We start from the raw sequence: 19,706 nt of genomic DNA, 5'->3' as shown, positions 1-19,706 counted from the left end.
GATGAAGAAAAACAAATTACTACAGCTGCTTATTATAGGATAATTGCCAGTTTCTTTATTCAATACCATGCTCAACCGAAAGTAAAATTTTCATACCCCAAATGTAGGATTATTTGGAGGGAAAGGAATGGCCAGATAAAATGGAAGAGATAAAAGACTTCTCTGTTTGAGCTTTGTCAGGGTCTTAGTTAGTCCATGCCAATTGTCCAGTCTCCAGTATCAACTTCAAACTCGTATCAGGTAACCTAATTGTCCTGCCATGTGTTCCTCCCTAAATCTTCCAGAACCCCAAACTTTCTTAGTTTCCTGCTGCTACTGTGAGTTATTCCCAAACCTGTGTCCTAGAGGGCCCAGTGAGAGACATGATTCTGTTCTACATACCTCATGAATCCTACCTATCATCAGCTTTTAATTTTTTGGCCTTAGTTCACCCACAGTACTCTGTGGCTGCTTAAAAATCCCTTTTCTTCACTTATTCTCCTGCTACTGCACAACTTAACTTTCTCCGGGCAAACATGCCAGTCTCTTAATCCAAGTTCAGATGCAAGATAAAGAGAGAAAACAAGATAGAGTGGCACCCGCAAGAACCTTCCATATTCAGACACTGCTGTATTAAGGTGTGCCTGACCACATCCTAGAAATGAATTCCAGCACCAGATCCTAAAAACCAGAGGAACTGTGAAAATACAAAAGCTTTGCCCTCCCCACATGGAGTACTGTCCACAAAAATGAGGTCTGGAAGTCCCCAGATACTGTGCCAGGAGATATCATATCTGGCCCCCTCACGTGGGATGTTGCTATATAGATCTCAGCTAGTTGTGCAATTTGAAGACCCCCATTCTCTCTACATGGGATGTAGCCCTATAGTGGGCCTTAGTGGCAACCCACGAGTTTTTATGTTATTTTCATTATTAATCAGTTGAGAATATTTTCTAATTTTCATTGTGAATTCTTTGACCTGTAATGTTTAGAGGCATATTGCTTAATTTAGAAAGAGTTAGAGATTTTTCTAGTCACCCTTTTGTTACTGATTTCCAGCATAATATTTACTGTCATCAAAGAACATAATCTGAATAATTTCAATCCTTTAAAAATCTGAAAGTTGAGTTGCTTTTTTGAATTGGTCAATTTTGGAAATGTTTCACATGTACTCAAAAAGAATTTTATTCTGAAGGCATTGGGTATTAGTGTTCTGTATCTGTCCCTTAAGTAGATTTGTTAATTGCATTGTTCAAGTATTGCATCTTACCGTTTTTTTTCTGGTTGTTATTTCACCTACCATCATGGTGGATTTGTCTGTTTTGCCATTCAGTGCTATCACATTTTTATATTCTGAGTCTTAGTTATTGAATGCTCACAGATTTAGAATTGTCATATCTTTTCAGCAAATTGAATTTTTTATCATTATGAAATCTCCCTTTTTATCTGCAATAATCTGTTTCACATTAAATTCTACTATGTCTGATAAAGTTCAGCTCTCACAAATTTCAGCCCTACAAACACAGCAGCCTCTTCTAGTGCAAAGTGACTTGCTCTCCACATATACGTATAGGAATTGCAGTTTGAGGTCCCAGACAAACCTGACCTGCAAATGAATCCCATTATCTAATTAAATGACTCTCAATGCTAGTTACACATTAGAATCACCTGGGAAAGGGGGAGCCTTTTAAAAACAACTGATGTCAGAGATCTGTCCCAAGAAACTCTACTTATTATTAGTCTGCAACAAACCTTGTTATTGCTGTTTAATAAAAGCAACCAGATGATTCTGCTGACTTTATAACCACTGGTTCAGTATGATATCCTGCCACCCCCACCAAGGATGTTGCTCAGTAAGTGTAGATTTGTAATTTCTGGGTGGAGTCTGCACTCTGTGGAGTATACAGTCAAAAGCCCTGCCAGATGAAAAATGAAAGATGGAAGAAACCCTATACCCTAGATGCCTGGTTCTCCCCTGTCCCACTGTATATCTTCTCCATGTATGATGTGACTTATTTAACACTGTGGAAATCTACCCCAGCACATTCACAGCCTTTTCTTTCCTCCCTAACCTGTCAAGCTATAGCCACAAAGAATATTGTCTGATAAGTATAGCAACTGTGGCCATCTCATCTGGATTCTCATTCCCTTTAAGAGTCAGTAATGAAAGAGAAATAAAAGGAAAGAAGAAAGAAACCAGCTCCCCAGCCCCTGTTAAATTCAGAAACTCGGCTTATTATCTCTGGACTGCTAAGATCCCTAAACTTCTGCTTTTATGCTACCCATACTACTTCATATTAATTGTCTAATACTATCTCCCCCACTGAACTCTAAGCACTCCAAAAACTGGAACAGTGCCTGGTACCTACTTAGTAGGTGCTCAGTGAAATGTTTGATAAATGAATGACCGAATAACTGAGCAAAGAAATGTTTCCATAGCAGTAGAAAAGATGCAGTCGTGGTTTCACTGCCAGGGGCCAGTATTTAACATGGATAATTGAAAACACAGCAGAGCATCAGAGGAGCATAACTCATAATCTTATGTGAAAACTCAACAGTTGCTCTTTTTCTTAAACACAGCCTGCTTCTTTTCAAGGCATCTAAACATTTGCTATCTCCTTGCACTCCATTTCTACTCTTCTTCTTAGACCTCCCACACAGCAGCAACCTGATTGTTGCAAAGTGCTCTGTTCTGCCTGCTTTGTCTTTACCATTTTCCAGCTCAGTAGCAGCCTGGTTGTTAGGGACTTCCTTACAATAACAGAACTCTTTCCAGCTCTACAGCATAGTTTAAGGGAGATTAGTTGCATGTACAGTCCTTCGTTACTCATTTTCTGATTTCCACAATGTTTTGAAAGAACTGAAAGTTAAGACTGCTTATCCACAAGGCTTTTTCAGTAATGTTATGTTTATCTTAGAATTCTGGCCTAAATGGTAATTGAATTGTGCATGTAGGAGAATGCAGCCAAGATGTTTCAATAATCATATGGTACCAGGGACTGTGCTGCCTGCACATGACTCAGGCAGATGAATCTGGTGCTTGCTTTCTTAAGGACTGGGGTTCAAAGAGAAGTAAGAACAGGATGAAGACCAGCTCACACCAGCTCACTTGACACCTTTTGAAATACAGGAGCACTGTTTCTCTTCAACATTAGTTACTATCAAGGATTCCCATCTGTTAGCTCTAAGAGAGGATAGGATGTGAAATATGAACAGCCGTTTGAATCTCTGTGGAGCCACTGCAGAGAATCACAGAGAAGATAAGTAGGGTTAGCAGTACTAAGACCCATTTATGTGAGTTATTTTGGAGATTGCTAAGATCCCAGTCCAGCATTATTTATTCCACCTACTGACCGAGACCTTTATCCTTTTGACTTAAGACAGTATTATTCAAAAAATTGTCCATGGGCCACCTGCTTTAGAATCATCTACAGGTGCTTATTTAAAAATACCTATCCCTGAGCCCCAGATCAATAAAGCAGAATCTCTGGGAGTGAGGCCTTGAACTTGTCCTGGCCAAACCACTCAGCCCATTCTTTTGAACCCTAAAGTTTAGATTGCTGCCTTGAGATATTACTAAGTATTAAGCTTCAAATAGCCCCAAGAAGCAATAGCACTGTGAGCAGATTAGTCATTTTTATTGAAGGATCTAAGATCAGGTTTTAGTAGAGACAGTAATTGAAAAGAACTTGAAGACACAAATACTCAATGAGGAGGAATAGGACACTATCAAAGAGAAGGAACAGAGATAAAATAGGCAAAGGGCCAAAGAAAAACTTCTTTACTTCATAATTTTGCCCTAGGTTTTATGGTCATTTGGCATAGTTTAGTTCAATCCAGCAAACATATATTGAGCCCCTACCATCTGCCAGCTACCAAGAAGAAAACAAAATAGAAGGAAGCTCTTAAATGGATAATTTAAATAAATGAGGTAAGGCCAAAGATTGAGATTCATACAAGAAACTTCGGGAGCTGAGAAGCAGGGACCCTAATGGCAACTTAGCTTCTAGAGAAGGAAGTGCCTGAGCAGGAAAATGAATAGAAGTTAGGCAGGTTTGAGGTTATGTGTGGGGGTTACTATTGAGGAGGCGCTAAAGAGGGGACAGGAATTGGTGGGAAATGGAGCATGTGCCCAACATTGGACAATCTGCCCAAGAAAAGGTCTGAGCATAAAGCAGTATGCTATATTGGGATTGATACGCAGTTGAGGGATGCTTTATCATAAAGTGCAAAGAATAAGGAAAGGCAATCGATGATCCTGGATAGGTAGATTTTAGCTAAGTCGTCTGTGTATATGTCTTGATAACTTTTACAAAGTCCTCTTGTGCTAGACATCTAGAAGTCTTCCTGGATCTGTCCTTCAAATTCATTCCAGGTTTGTGGACTCAAAATGTTAGTTGTGATTGCTCCAAAAACATGTTACAACTGGTTTATGGGCTCTCTGTGGGACATTGAAGTGGACCATAATATCAAAATTTTTTCAATGTACATTTGAGCTTGTTTTGACTATTACTGGAAGAATACCTAAAAATAGTAACATTAATGACCTCTGGAGAGGGAGGACTGGGAACAGAAGTGGAATGAGTTTACTTCTCATTGTATACCCTTTACTACTGAATTTGAATTGTTTACCATGTATATTTATCACATATTCAAAAAAATCATAAAAGAGAACTGAAGAGACATTTATTCCATAAGATAAAGAAATTGTCAGCGTCAGCATATAAAAGAGTGATTTAATTTATATTAATAACCAAGTTGACAACTTATTATACAGTGGTGGCAGCAATCATAACATTAAATTAATTTTGTCTTTCAAATTCTGAGAAAAAACATGAGGTTGGAGATGTCTTCTGTATATCCTCTAAAAATTTTGCCTCTTTTTTTTTCCAGTTTGCAGCTCACCTTGTGAAGATGAAATATCCAAGAATCTGTATTCTAGATGGTGGCATTAATAAAATAAAGCCAACAGGCCTCCTCACCATCCCATCTCCTCAAATATGAAGAACCAAGAGTGTGACTGCCAAAACTTAGTGTGGCATCAGCACCAACAGCACAGTTCTTCATATCCACGCCACTCTCAGACAAAACTAGATGTCCAGATTGTTGCATTTCCGTAAAGTTTGTCACGAGACATTTTTTAAAATCTCATAACCCACATGTTCAGTTATCCATGCAAGAAACTTGACTCTACATGTATTGCTGAAAGAATTTTCTTAACAGTGAAATCTGATCATATATTTTTACCACACTGCCACATAAAGCCCAAGAAATTCAGCTGACAAGACAGATTTAGCATTATCAAGAAATCCCATTTGCCCTGAAAAAGCTGTCCTCCATTGTACTGAACAGACAGTCCTGTCGATTGTGTTATTTAGAAACATACACTGAATGTGGGCTGAAATCATCATCTTTCCATAATGAAAACTGAGAAACTATTCACAATGCATTCCTTATAAATAAATGCTACATTTAGTAACTCATTTCACCCAAACAAGGGGGATGTGTGTGTGTGTGTGTGTATAGGAAGTGGAGTTTATCCCATTGCAGAAAGTGGTAATACTTACTCCCAGAAAAATGAAATTTAGAAACCATTTATATTTGATAGAATATTTGGTCAGTTCCTGTAGCAAAGACGAATGGCTTAAACAAATTTTCTAGTTTCTTTATCACATGAAAGTCTGTACAGTCAGTCCAGGGCTAGTCTACTGGTTTCCTGATCATTAAGAACTCATTACCTTCTCTCATTGCTTTACAAACCTCAATATGTGGCATCCATCTCATGGATGAAAATGGCTCCTCAGCTTCTACCATCACATCTGCTATCTAGAAGGAAGAGAATGAGGGAAGGAGGGAGGGGATGAAGAGAAAAGAAGGAACAAAAGAAGGAGGGAGGAAAGAAGAAAAGAAAGGAAAAGAAGCGAAGCACACTCCTTCCCTTTAAGGTCATAAACCAGAAGTTGCGCACACTACCTCTGCTTACATATCATTGGCCAGAACTTGGGTGCATGGCCACACCTAGCTTTAAGGAAAACTGGAAATAGAGTCTTTGGGTGGTTGATCATTTCCCCAGCTAAAAACATTCTTATTACTGTGTGGGAAGAAGAGAGTACATATTGAGGTACAGCTAACAACCTCTGCCTCTGCCACATTGTTTTTAAAATGAGTATTATATTTCATTAAATCTAAGACATCTCACAATTTTAGGTACCACAAAGAAAAAATGAAGCCAAATGAATTGTGACACTTTGTCAATTAAAAGACACATTCCCTGGGAGGCCGAGGTCAGGAGTTTGAGACCAGCCTGGCCAACATGGGGAAACTTTGTCTCTACTAAAAATATAAAAATTAGCTGGTCATAGTGGCACACGTCTGCGGTCCCAGCTACTCAGGAGGCTGAGGCAGGAGAATCACTTGAACCTGAGAGGCAGAGGTTGCAATGAGCCATGATAGGGCCACTGTACCCCAGCCTGGGCAACAGGGCTCACCCTGCCATCTCAAAAAAAAAAAAAAAAAGAAAGATACATTCCCATTTCAGAAATCTGAAAAAAAAAATGCCTCATATATATGAAATATAGCATATCCTTTAATTATCTTCAATTTTGTTTTAACTAAAAAGTGTTCATTCATCTATAACTTACATTCCACTCCAATGTTAAGACTGCCTAGGCAGAACATTTCAATAAGAGCCTCAATTCAGCTTTCTGGGCCATGGTTTTGTTGTTGCTGCTATTGTTTACTTTATTTTATTTTTTCTTTGCATCTACTTTTTAAATTGAGATATACTTAACCATAAAATTCATCCTTTTAACATGTACAGTTCAGTAGTTTTTAGTGTATTCACAAAGTTGTGCAATCAGTATTATCCAGAATACTTTCATTGTATGCAATTGTCTACCTGATCAGCAGGTATTCCACATTAACCCCTCCTAAGGTCTTTGATAAATTTTTGTATATGGAGTGAGGGGTCCAGGTTCATTCTTGCATATGAGTATCCAGTTGTCCCAGGACCCCTCCTGTTTTGTTTGTTTTATTCAATTTATTTGGTCATTCACCAAATATGTTTTGAATACCTACTATGTATTTCTAAGACACTAATATAATCCATAGTTATATCATTTGTGATCCTTACCTAGTTTACAAGGAAAAAAATGTGAGAATTAATGAGAACAAATATATACCAAGATTTCACTAACATTGTTTTTGGGCCATTGTCTACCCTCTTCAGAGAAATATTAAATCCTCCTGTCCTGGCAATTACTATTTTCTTCCTTCAGTCTTTGATGACTTACCTGAGTTCATAATCAGAATGCACCATTGATGATCATTCTGAGTCTTAACTCTGCCTTACTGAGAAAGCAGAGAAGAGAGGGATGGAGGGGCAGTGATTTGAGTTGAATAAGGTGGTAGGTAGTAGGAGAGGATGAAGACCTTGTGAAGAGAGCTATGTAAGAAGATAATAGTAGCAACCCTCTGTCATGATTTTGCATTTGATCTTTCTTAAAACGACACATTTAGGCTTATTCCAAGAAATTGAAGTTTTTTAAACATGAAAATTATAATATTTAATATTCTCAACAGTAAAGTAAGAGCACACTATCACTGCCATGTTTATACACAGGGCATGTTATTTCATGGTGGATGATACGAACAGTTGACCTCAACAACTATTTGTTAGATTAAACGTATATAACCCAGGATTTATTTGAGTTCCTTTTTAATGTATTATTGATTCCTACACGATGACTATCAGCACTGTTTCTGGCTTTACCTGGAATGCCATAAGTACCACCACCAGCCCACACAGATATACATACACACACACACACACACACACTCACATTCATAAACACACTTATTAACTCTTGATAATCTAGCAACAACAGTGTACCTCCTCCAGTCTTCTCTGGCTTCCCCATGCTGCACTAAGAGCCCCAAATCTACTAAAGCATTCCATTCATAATTTACTAATAATAGATTTATTACATCATTTTGCAATCGTTTGTTTACATTTAGTCCCCTATTAAAATATGAGCTGCTTAAGATCAGGAGCTATAATTTATACCTCTTGCTACCTTCAGCAACCCACCACATTGGATATGCTCAATTAATATAAAATTGAATCTATCAATTTTAGAATCTATTTGAAGGGAGAAAAATAAAAATAACCTGTGGTAATTTTTTTCAACTGCCAAACTTATCTGGTACCTGATAGTATAGAAATAAATTGAAATCTCAATTCATGGAGTGAAAAAAGGATCTCTAAAGTCCCATCCAGCTCTAAAATCTGATAATTCTAGAAGTTGGAGCAGATAACTTCCAAAATAAGGTAATTTAATCTAGTTGCATCCTCTTTTCAAAATACAGAAATGTTAGATTCAAAAAGCATATTAAAAATAACTAATGCTTAACCAAGTTTGAAAGAAAGAAGTTTTTTGATGTCAGAAATGAAAAGGACCTGAAAGGCACAGCTTTTAGGCCCGTGGGATACCCAGTATCAATATAAGCCCCAAGAACTCAGGTTTTGGAATACATATAGGAATAGAAGACATAGCTTTGGATCTTATGGGTGGGAGTTCTAATTAAGACCTCTTTATGAAGTGACCGTCTCAAGGAACTCCGCTCCATGAAATGACAAGACATAACTTCCCGCCAAATTAGGGAAGCTACAGAGGAGATTGTCATTGGCCTGGTTATTCTTGATGAAGGAAGAAAAATCTGTTACAGACAGAGTTGTTCAGTGGAAAGTCTGGGGTAAGTTCCTGATTTAGAACAGGCTTTAGTGCACTTTAAAAGGAAAACAATGAATTATATAAAACTTTTAGAGGACACAGTGGTGCCAGATTTTTGTTGGATTCCTGTGCTTTCCTCCTCCAAATAGTTACCAAAAAATATTCCTTTGGGAATTAGTATCAAAAGGATTCTATAGCATCTCAAAAGAATCTTATTCACTTTGGGAGGCCGAGGCAGGCAGATCACAAGGTCAGGAGATCGAGACCATCCTGGCTAACACGGTGAAACCCCATCTCTACTAAAAATACAAAAAATTAGCCAGGCGTGGTGGTGGGCGCCTGTAGTCCCAGCTACTCGGGAGGCTGAGGCAGGAGAATGGCGTGAACCCAGGAGGCAGAGCTTGCAGTGAGCCGAGATCGCTCCACTGCACTCCAGCCTGGGAGACAGAGTGAGACTCCGTCTCAAAAAAGAAAAAAAAAAATCTTATGCAGTAGTCTTATTTAATAAAATCCACTACAAGGAGAGAAGACTGCTGCCTTGACTATATAGAAAGGGTTGGCAGATATTTCATTCTATCAGTTGTAACTAGTAATCCCATTGTTATACATGCTGACCCAAAATATAGCTGTTATTAACCAAATAATGCATTTTTCTTGATAAATGTTGATTAAATCAGATTGGAAGCAAAATGGTAATATTTATGATCAATTTTAGTTTGGATGTTCAATGTCAAGACCAAACCCTCTTCACAGCTACCAACTTCAATTTTATGTGGAAAACTAATGGTGAAGAGTTTCAAACTTTAACTGACACTTGACATTTAACAGGGTATGTAATTGCTCACACACAACCTTTAGGTTTTGTAATCCAGTTTTATCTCATACAATATTAGAAACAGTACACATTGTAAATACCTATTTTAAAAGTTAGCCATATTTTATAAAGTCACATGTATTTATATCTTTTCTGAGTAATTTTCCTGTTAATGCCTTATGATAGGTGCTTGTAACATGAAAACTAAACTTGGATCTTGGCATATTCAGTGTTCTATAGATAGATTGTGATCTGTATAGCTTCTACGGTGACTTTCAGGCCTAATGTCTCCTTTTAAGTTGTTATTCTTTAATATCCTTTCTCATTCCTTTCAGAGGACCTATTATTAGTTTGCATTGTCTGCAGCATTTCAATAATACTGTTCTATTCTAATAATACTGATCTGTTCTAATAAACAGTTCTAAATACTGTTCTGTTCTAATTGGTACCAAAGCACTACATTGCCAACATTTCTAGATATTAATCCCCTGGGTGGTGGGGGTTAAAACACTGTTCTGTCTTGGCCTATGACTAATCTTGGAGCTATAACAAATGCATTTAAAGCATTAGATCAGATTCTAAATATTGCTTCCTGCCACGCTAAAAGATTCAACTTTTACTCTCATTATATATAGATGTGACTTAAGAAACAGTACATGGCCTACCATTTTTTAAAAGACTATACTAGTGTGATCACTAGCATTAAAACCTAAGATAATCCTTGCAAAGGAGACTTAATTTTCTCATTAACCTGGAAACCCATTCTTATTCTGTTATTAATTTTTTCTCAGTTGTATTAGCATATTTTCAGTCCTATAGAGTAGAATGATTTATTATTCTAAGTCCTGTATTGCTCTGGAACTGGCTCCTCATAGCTTGAAAGAGCTGAATGTTCTCATCTCTTCTCAACTCCGTGGTCAGTGATCTCAGGTTAGTAGCTTATAATCAGCCACATCAGGGGTATTTGCACCATAGAAATAGGCAAGTATTCCAAATCAGGCTCTTTTTAAAACTTTTTATTTATTTTTGAGAGCCAGTCAATAACATTTACTAGTGCATCATTGATTCAATCATCCTAGGGTCATTATATTTTCTGTAGATTGTGAAAGTAAAAGGAATGTTAAAGATTATTCAATCCAAATGTCATTGTTCAAAACAATAAGAAAAGTGAAAAGATTTTGCAAAGATCACATAGCTAGTAAAAGGCAGATTCAAAATTGCAATTCTGCTTTTCTGATTCTTTGCCTATTTTTCTGCTCATCATATACAGATAAAGAAAGTAAAGGGCACCAGTTTCAATTCATTACATATTTATTGCAGACCAACTTTGAGTCAGTCGCTGTATTATATAATGTGTGGGGTACAAAAATGAAGCAGTGAAAGTGTCGATTAAACTGACTACTGACTCTATTACTTGGAAATGCCACTTAATATCAGCCCTTAGAGGATGGCACTCTCACCTCCTCATCCTCCACACTTTCAAAAAAAGACTGCATTTGAGCATTCTACTCTGAGGGAAGAATCACTATTTTCAGGAACTTTTGCTATGTTTTAAGTTACCTTTCACCTTCAAGGCAACCTTCCTCAGAAAAACATCTCTGGTAGAGAAACACATTGTCTCTGTCTACAGTACAATCCTTGATATACAGGATCAAAGTTGGCTTTTAACCTTTGTTTTCTATGTCTTAGCCAGGGACCAGGCTTGAAGAATAAGAAAAGTCCTCCTATCAGTTTCCCAGTCATGTGTGGAAAGTCAAGGTGGGGGAGTGGGGGATAGCTAGTTTCTGAATCTATTAATCACAGAAGAAATAGAGGTCATTTAAGTCACTTGCTAACTTTAAAATATAGTTTTATGCTTTGAGGTAAACTATCCTGATAATTTATTATTTGCCAGATAGCGTATATTTTCTAAAATTATCTTTAAGATCATTAATAATTCCATATACCATGCGTTCATAGCCACAGACTCCATATAAGGTCATTAAGGATTTGAAAGGCATGTGAGAAATAGAGCTATTGGATTGAGGCCAGATGGCAGAGACGGTAGTTTGCAAAGTGATGTGCAACCAAGAAGGGAATCATATTATTGTTGAATAAGCAGGATTTACATAAATGAGGATTTTTTTAAATCTCTGGACATATTATATTGTCATTAATTACATGTGGCAGTATAAGATGACAGGATAAAACATCTGTCTAAATGTAATGCCTAGTGTGACCATTTTAACTCCCTACTCTGAGCTTGTTTCCTAATTTTCAAAGATCTCGGGATCTGCTCCCATCCCACACTGTCCTAGTATGACTGTGCTCTGGAGAGGCCTTCCTGAGATGCCTTCTGATGAAGACCTACCCTGAGCAACTGGCATAAACAGGCAGAAGCCATTTCCAGGGATTTATCCATTTACCTCTGTAGCAAAAAATATATATATCACAAATAATGACTCAGAGGTAGGAGGTTAGTTTGAGTTGTTTCTCAAATTACTCTGATAGAGGTAATAGGTATTAAAAAGTTTTTAACCCTACTTTGGGCTACGACAACTCAATGACTATACAATCCTCCTAAATAATGGTTTATCTATGTTTAGTTTGTAACAGGATTTTTTTCGTATTAACAACTGTCAGATAGTCATTTTGATTTCTGCCATGATTTGGTACCTAAAAAGAAGCATGAGAAGAGTGTTTTCCTGATAATGAAGAAACTTTAAAATATCCCCCCTTTTTAAAAAATTAACTAACATGAATCCAAACAGATTAAGTCTAACAGCATCCCAGGTAATAGAGGACTAGACTAGTTCATATTTCAAAAGTAAACATACCTACAGATATTCATAATTATTTAAAAAAATGAAAATAGATTGAAGCCTCTATCATGACTGATGCTTTACTAATATTTTATAAAACACACTGGACACGAAATGTGCTGATGAGGCATTTAAGCCCATATCCCAAAATATGTTTACTTGTAAGTCACATGTGTATGTACGTTAAAGTGAATGAAATAATAAAAAGGAGGTGATTTTAATAGATTAAATCTTAACACTCATTTAAGTGACATGTTATTTTAACATGAACCCTATGCAGCAATATAACTATTTAAAATTTCAGTGGTAACTTATATAACTTACATAAAGCAAGATGTTACATATTTGTAAAGAAACCATCCCATAAAATGATAATAGCTCAGGCAGAGGCTGACTATATTAATTGCCCTGTAAATCACTAACTCTATGTCATTCTGAAATGAATTTTAAATTGCCCTGTTTGATTAAGTGAAGTAATATCAAAATTAATATTAAAGTTAATTATTGTCAGCAAAATTCTGTTATTGCAAAAAAAATTAATTAATAAGGAAATTAATTGTTGCAATTACTTAACCCTTTTAATTAGCTTGTCCTGCCCAGGACGTTAACTGAACCACTTTTAAAAAGCTGTTAGGCATTTATTATAAAGCCTGACTGAAATTTTATGTGAGTGTATTATTGGATGTGTACTTTATTACTTACCAGCTAAAACTAAATGATGATTTTTAGGATCTGAACAAAATACTAAATTAAATATCTGATACAAATTAGTTGTATAAAAATAACCAAATGAAAACAGAAAATTGTGAAAGGGACCTACTGACAACTCCAAAGGTTGTCATCCCACACATATACCTCTACCAGATACTTGTTGGTCCAGGTCATGATAATTGTATTGCTCCTTGAGAGCACATGAGTGCTTCAGCCATTTCAAGGGCAGGTGAAACCTCAGCTCCTCCATGACAGCTTTCCCCTCAAATGGCACACGTATTTTTTTGTTTACCCAGATCCTGGAAGGCTGGAATGAGGAAGAACTGTGAGCTGAGGTTTCAGGTTGGCTGGCATTTGTTTAGTGTTCATGGTTAAACTTTCTCGAGGATCTTTCATTTCACAACACTAAGTTTCCTTAAGCCCCCCAGAATTGTGGTAAATCCTACTTTATGCAGCACTATTCAGGAAGCTCAAACCTCCACAGTGGTCAAAGTAATGACTGTCTTCAAAGCAGGGTCTCCAGATTTTCAGTGTCAGCATTTAACCTCCAGACATCTTAAGAATAAGAAATATGTTCTAAGATCCCAACACTATCATGTTAAGAGTACATTGAAAAAGACCACCCTGACAAAAACAACACGTTTCAGGAAGAAGAGGGGGAAGGGAGGGTTCAAGTTTTCCTCTCGCTTAAACCTCAAATTACAGGGAGCCTACAGGAAGAAAAGGAGATCAATTATCAGAGAACTTGGATTCTCTAGTACTGGCCCCTCCACTGTTTTTTTCAGTGTCTCTCTGGGCAGTTCACATGGGTTCGCTCAGGCTCTGGTTCCTCATATATAAAAGAGGTAATAGCATTTATCTAGCCTGTCTCCTAGGTTTATGTTGAAGCTCATAGAAAAGTATTTTGTCAATGGAAAAGTATTATTCAAATATGTGTATAATTTTTATAAAAGTCATAACTGTTCTGGAAAACTATCAAGCCAAACTCTTGATCTATTGTGTAGTTTTTAGAGAATATTGACACAACAAATAATTACTCTTACAATCCATATACCTTTCCTATTATGCAACATAAACAAAATGGAAGACTTCACAAGCAGTATTAAGATTATACACTGCACACCTGATACTGTTTAATTCTATTTAAAGCAATTATTTCTGCTAAGTTTATAAATTTTATGCAAGATCCTTTCAGACTTCTCTTTGTTTTATATGCCACCCTTTCCAAACCCAGTTTTACCAATTTAAAACACACTTTTTACAATAATCTAAATTCTCTCAATGCAACCTGGCAGGTTCAGTTTTGCCAATAACTATCTACACCTAGATGGCAGAGATTAACTTTGTTTCAAATCCACCCTTCCCTTCGGTTTTATCTCCCTCTTCCCTTGCACCTCTCTCCTGGACTTCAAAGCAGTTTTGTGGTTGACTTGCAGAAAATCAATGGTTGGGAGATGAAAAGCAGCTCTTGTTTATCTCTGCCTGCTGAAGGTCATTCTACTTGGTAGCATCTGTGCGAGATCCACAGCCATTTCTCCTCACAGAGGGGAGAAGCAAATTGATTACACACACAGAAATCATTATAAAGAGAGAGTGGGATTCATTTTAAAGGGGTAGGATCACATTAAAACACAAATATAGTAATAAGAATCAGTGTAGTAGTGAAGTACTGGTGTTTGGAGTATAAGTTTAAAGTGTTATTGAATGTGACCCTAAGTTTTTAAAAAGCTATTATATGTCTGGACTTGTTACAGGGTACAAAACTACGTAGTTTATCACATTCTCTAACAGGTACCCAAGAAGTTATTTGAATTTAATAGGCCTTAAGGACTATGACTAATAGGACATTAATAAATGAGAGCCGTGGATGTTGAATTTTACATAGATAAGTCTTCCCACTGCAGATACCAGAGTTGTTGGCCTTGTTAGCCAAATTGTCTATCAGTCTCTTTTCGAATGCTGATGACAAGCTGTCACTCAAGCCTATTACATGAATTGCTTAGCCCTCAGTGTTCTTTACATAACAAGTCCATTGTTTGAACCAGTATTGAGAAAAGAAACCTAAAAAGTACATACATTCGCCCAATGCCCTCAAGTTGATAGTGAGCTTTCCTGGAGTCCTATAGCATGTGGATTGAGCCTTGATGATAACACTTTGTCCTGTCTCTGTGATGTAGCTACTGGGTTAGGTCAGGTAGTAGAGTTTTAGTGGTATTTTATGGCATTAAGGGCAGGGACCTAAAAATCCTTGCCAGTCATCTTCTCCACCAAGTTCCCAAGTGAAATTTACACATCAGGGATAACAGCAAGTGGAAAACAAAGTACCAACTTATGGCTGGGCTAGTGACCACTTCTCCCCAATTTAGAGCTTTCATAACCCTGGATTAAAACCCACAGCTTATGCTCAAGGCCTCCATAGCATTGTGTCTGCATCAAGCCAGAATCTAAATCTTGGATCTCATTTTCTAGTTTATCACATAGTATGAGAACTAAAAAGCCCAGTAAGCTTTAAGTATGTGGATAAAAAGATAAAAACATCATAAAAAGATGGCCAGGTAACTAAAGAGACCTTAGTTCAATTTACAAATTGTACCACATGCACTGGAAGGGAGGAAAGACAGAAACTCTTAAAAGTTAAATAGTAACACCGCCCATCAGTAAGTGTGGCCAAAAAAGTGTTCTGGAACCAGACCAATCAGATTATAACTGCCTCTTTTTGTGGGGAGATGCAAGGAAGGGGAAGAGGAAAAGTGTGAGCAAGGTTCCTCTTCCCTACATACATGATGCTCCCCATTTTCTAGATTTCTTTGAGGGCAAGATGGGTAGAATCTTCATTTTACTATTTCGCATAGAAAGTACTACACTGTCAGCACAAAAGTGGGCTTTAATGAGTGTTTATTTATTGAAGGAAGAGAAACACTGTTTCCAATATAAAAAGCATCAATCAACAATGATTAAGTACCAGATACATGTCTGCACCCTAGGATATGCAATGGATGCTTAAAGAAATAGCACATTGTCCCTGTTATAAGGGTTGGCACATACAGGGGATTAGAAAAGAGAACAATAATGTAACTGTGTGACACAGGCTACCAATGTACTGTGTGCTTAGCCAAAGCTAAACCTGGGACCGCCTTGTGAACCAAGGCTGTCCTTAATGGAATATCACTTCACAAGATAGGGAACTTTTATGCTTTGGACTCAGACACTCTGCCACTTACTGAATATGTGACCTTGGGCAAGTTGCTGTCTCCTTCAGCCTCAGTTTTTGTTTTGTTTTGTCTTTTTAATCTGTTAAATGAGCTCAATTAAAGCCTGCTTTGCAGACTTGGTATGAGGAATAAAGAAGAAAATGGTTATAAGGCAACAGTATGTAGCAACTAGACCACATAAAAATGGAGGTAGCTATTTTTATGCTTTTTATTATTAACCTACTAAAGGAGATTTTCACCTTAGTATTGGTTCACCCTACAAACACAGTTAATCCTGTAACTTTTCCATGCTTCAGGGCTTTTTCCACCCATTACATGGGAATTAACCAGTCAAACCACAAAAAGTGCTAAGGATTGCAGTAATCATGAGGAAGAACCAGACAGGAAGGAAAGAGGGCCTTTCCTTTCAAAAGCTAATGCAAAAATGAGGGCTGGGAGTGCTAATGGCAATGAGCTGGGCACTGTAGAATTTAGTACAATTCTTTGCTGAATTTGGGGGAAATGGCACCTTTCTGCCAGGGTTATTTGCCAGGTATCCTGAGAGCCATCAGTTATTTGCCTGATGGAAGAAAGACACTGCAGTAACCAGCTGCTGCTGCTGCTGCTACTCCACTGAACTTTTACAAAAATAGTTTACAACTGTGAGGAGCTATGCAATTCTGTCGTGATAAGCTGCCAACTAGTCCTGACTTCTTTATGTTCAAATATCCTATTTGAGTCAGTTGTATGGAGCCACAAGTTAAAATTCCCTTTTAGCTTCTGCCTGTTGCCAAATGTACTCTTGCTCTGTCTAAAAATGACTTTTGTCCTTAACATGTATCAATTTCCTAAAAGCACAGTGAGTTAATGCTGTTGCAGGTGGTGACGGCATGTCTTCCTGGGCATCTCAGCAGGGAATTTTATCTTGACACAAGGATTAGTACATAATTCTGGCATCGCTGAGCACAAAAGTACCATGATAAATCTTTCCTCTGCTGCTTAATTATTGATATGAGCAATAAGTTAGGTATTTTAACTAAGAATTCATGGGCTCAAGTAAAAAAGAAGAGATTTTTTACTTCACAACCGCATAGCACTGTTTCTGTTCTAGAAGTAACCTAATTGAATAAACAACAACAACAAAAAAACAATTTCTCAGAATAAGATTTTTATTGGGACTTTAAATTTTTAAAACTACCTTAAGCATGCCTCTTATTACACTCAGTCTAAATAAAATTGGAGTTCAAATTCAGCAGGTTAATTGTGTTTCCTTACCATATTCACTTTTTAAGAAAAAGCACCGACAACTTTTTGATCATATAGGAACATTGCTTCCCTAAGAATACTTTTTGATATATTTAAATCCATTTGTTATGATTGGAAGAGGAGAGACTGCATATTTTGCCCCAATAGGTTGTTCTAATTCCATGTGCAGTAGAAGAGAGTGTGCTGTAATTAGATGGGAACTTTGGCTTTTCCCTTCCTGGTTGTGTGACCTGGAGCATTTAATTTAACCTTGCTGAGCCTCAGTTTCCATATCTGTAAACTGGGTTTAATAATTATGTCTGCTTTACATAGTTATAATGAAGATAAACATGATAATATTTGTAAAGCACTTAGCAGAATGCCTGGCACAGAGGAATGACTCAGTACAAGGTGTAGCTAATATTTTTAACAAGACACTGCCTTCCTATGCTGAAGTGCTTCTAAATTCTCTGCCATTGAAATGCAAGCATGGTGAAATTGGCAAGTGAGATGCATTTCTTGGCTAATAGAGGTAAATTCCTTTATTCATGGTATCTACATGCCAGGGATGGGCTAGGAAATGCAAGGAAAATGGAGAAGATGCCAGCAATGTCTTTGAGGAACTCAAGAACAGGCACAGAAGGTGAGTCAAAGTGCAGCAAGAATGCAGAAAGCATGCCTGGGTTTGCTGGGGGTGGTTGGCGAGACCCTTTTGCTGAAACCTAATATGGAGTAGGAATTGGATTAAGATGGTGGGTAAGAGGCAGAACTAGCTTGCAGCTCCAGCTCAGATGGACAGAGCAGCATGTGGAGACTCACATCTTGAACTTTTGCTCCAGGAAGTACTACAGAACATACCAGGAAAAGCTAAGAAAATTCACCAGTCTTTTGAAGGAACTGGATCACTACTGCAGGCTCCCTGAAATGCCCAAAAACTGTGAGTCATCTTGCGTTTTCAATGAGGAGGCTCATGGTCTGGGCAAATTCTCAGCCCTGGTCACCAGCTGCCTGGAAATAGACTCAGTGCTGTTGCCAGGGGTACTGTGGGAGTGAGTCTGGACTTTAGGACTGTGGGCTGCATGGGAGAGGGGTGAGGCCTGGGACTGCTGGCTTTCCCACTTCCCTGGTGACCTGTATGACTCAGCAGAGGCAGCCATAATCCCCCTGGGAGTATAATTCCATTGGCCTGGGAACCACATCCCTATCCACCACAGCAGCTGCAGCAAGTTCTGCCCAAGGAGAGTTGGAGCTCAGACACGCCAATCCCTGCCTCCACCTGGTGGTCTTTCTCTACCCACCCTAGTATCCAAAAAACAAAAGTCATAATCTGTTGAGAGTTCTATGGCCCTGCCCAATGTCTGAGAAACCTGAATATTTAACCAGGTATCTCTAGAGCAAGCTTGCATCCTCCCCATAGGACTGCAGCTGATGTGCTCTTGAAAGTGCCAACTCCTGACTGGAGGCCAACCAACACAAAACCAGTGCACTAAACAAAAACACAACTAAGGAACCTCACAGAATCCACTTCACTCCCCTAAGACCTCCACCAGAGCAGGTGCTGGTATCTACAGCTGCAAGACCTGAAGACGGATCACATCACAGGACTCTTTGCAGACACTCTTCAAAACCAGCCCAGTGTCTGGTAGCTCCACTGGGTGGCTAGACATAAGAGCAAAACAATCACTACAGTTCGGCTCTCAGGAAGCCCCATTTTTAGGGGAAGGGGGAAAACACCACATCAAGAGAGCACCTTGTGGAACAAAAGAATCTGAACAGCAGCGCTTGAATCCCAGATTTTCCCTCTGACATAGTCTACCCAGATGAGAAGGAACCAGAAAAACAATTCTGGTAATATGACAAAACAAGTTTCTTTAACACCCTCAAAAGATCACACCAGCTCAACAGCAATGGATCCAAACCAAGAGGAAATATCTGAATTGCCAGAAAAAATATTCAGAAGGTCGATTATTAAGCTAATCAAGGAGCCACCAGAGAAAGGTGAAGTCCAACTGAAAGAAATCAAAAACACAGGCTATATGAAAGAAAATTCTTCAGTGAAATGGGTAGCATAAATAATAAGCAATCACAACTTCTGGAAATCAAGGGTACACTTAGAGAAATTCAAAATGTACTGGAAAGTCTCAGCAATAGAATCAAACAAGCAGAAGAAAGAACTTCAGAGCTCAAAGACAAGGCTTTCTAATTAACTCAATCCATCAAAGACAAAGAAAAA

General features: G+C 37.9%; 1 protein-coding gene across 11 annotated transcripts in view, besides 1 other annotated feature; it reads left to right on the top strand.

Annotated features, from left to right (window-relative positions):
• TBCK (TBC1 domain containing kinase) overlaps positions 1–9,954 on the top strand; it is a 275,085-nt gene extending 265,131 nt beyond the window's left edge. For all 11 annotated transcript variants that reach the window (NM_001163436.4, NM_033115.5, NM_001163437.3 and 8 more), the window contains one exon: positions 4,873–9,954. In NM_001163436.4, the coding sequence (NP_001156908.2) occupies positions 4,873–4,983 (111 nt within the window). In that variant the 3' untranslated portion in view covers positions 4,984–9,954. The remainder of the gene's footprint in view (positions 1–4,872) is intronic.
• Positions 18,427–18,721: an enhancer, noted in NCBI's record as "tiled region #11278; HepG2 Activating DNase matched - State 10:DNaseD". NCBI's record gives its function as "activates a minimal TATA promoter and a strong SV40 promoter by Sharpr-MPRA in HepG2 cells {active_cell/tissue: HepG2}" and the evidence as "EXISTENCE:reporter gene assay evidence [ECO:0000049][PMID:27701403]".

The sequence above is a fragment of the Homo sapiens genome, chromosome 4 (genome assembly GCF_000001405.40).
Source record: "Homo sapiens chromosome 4, GRCh38.p14 Primary Assembly".
Classification (NCBI taxonomy): Eukaryota; Metazoa; Chordata; class Mammalia; order Primates; family Hominidae; genus Homo; species Homo sapiens.
Note: the sequence above shows the minus strand (reverse complement) of the source record. Positions and strands in the feature narration are given on the sequence as shown.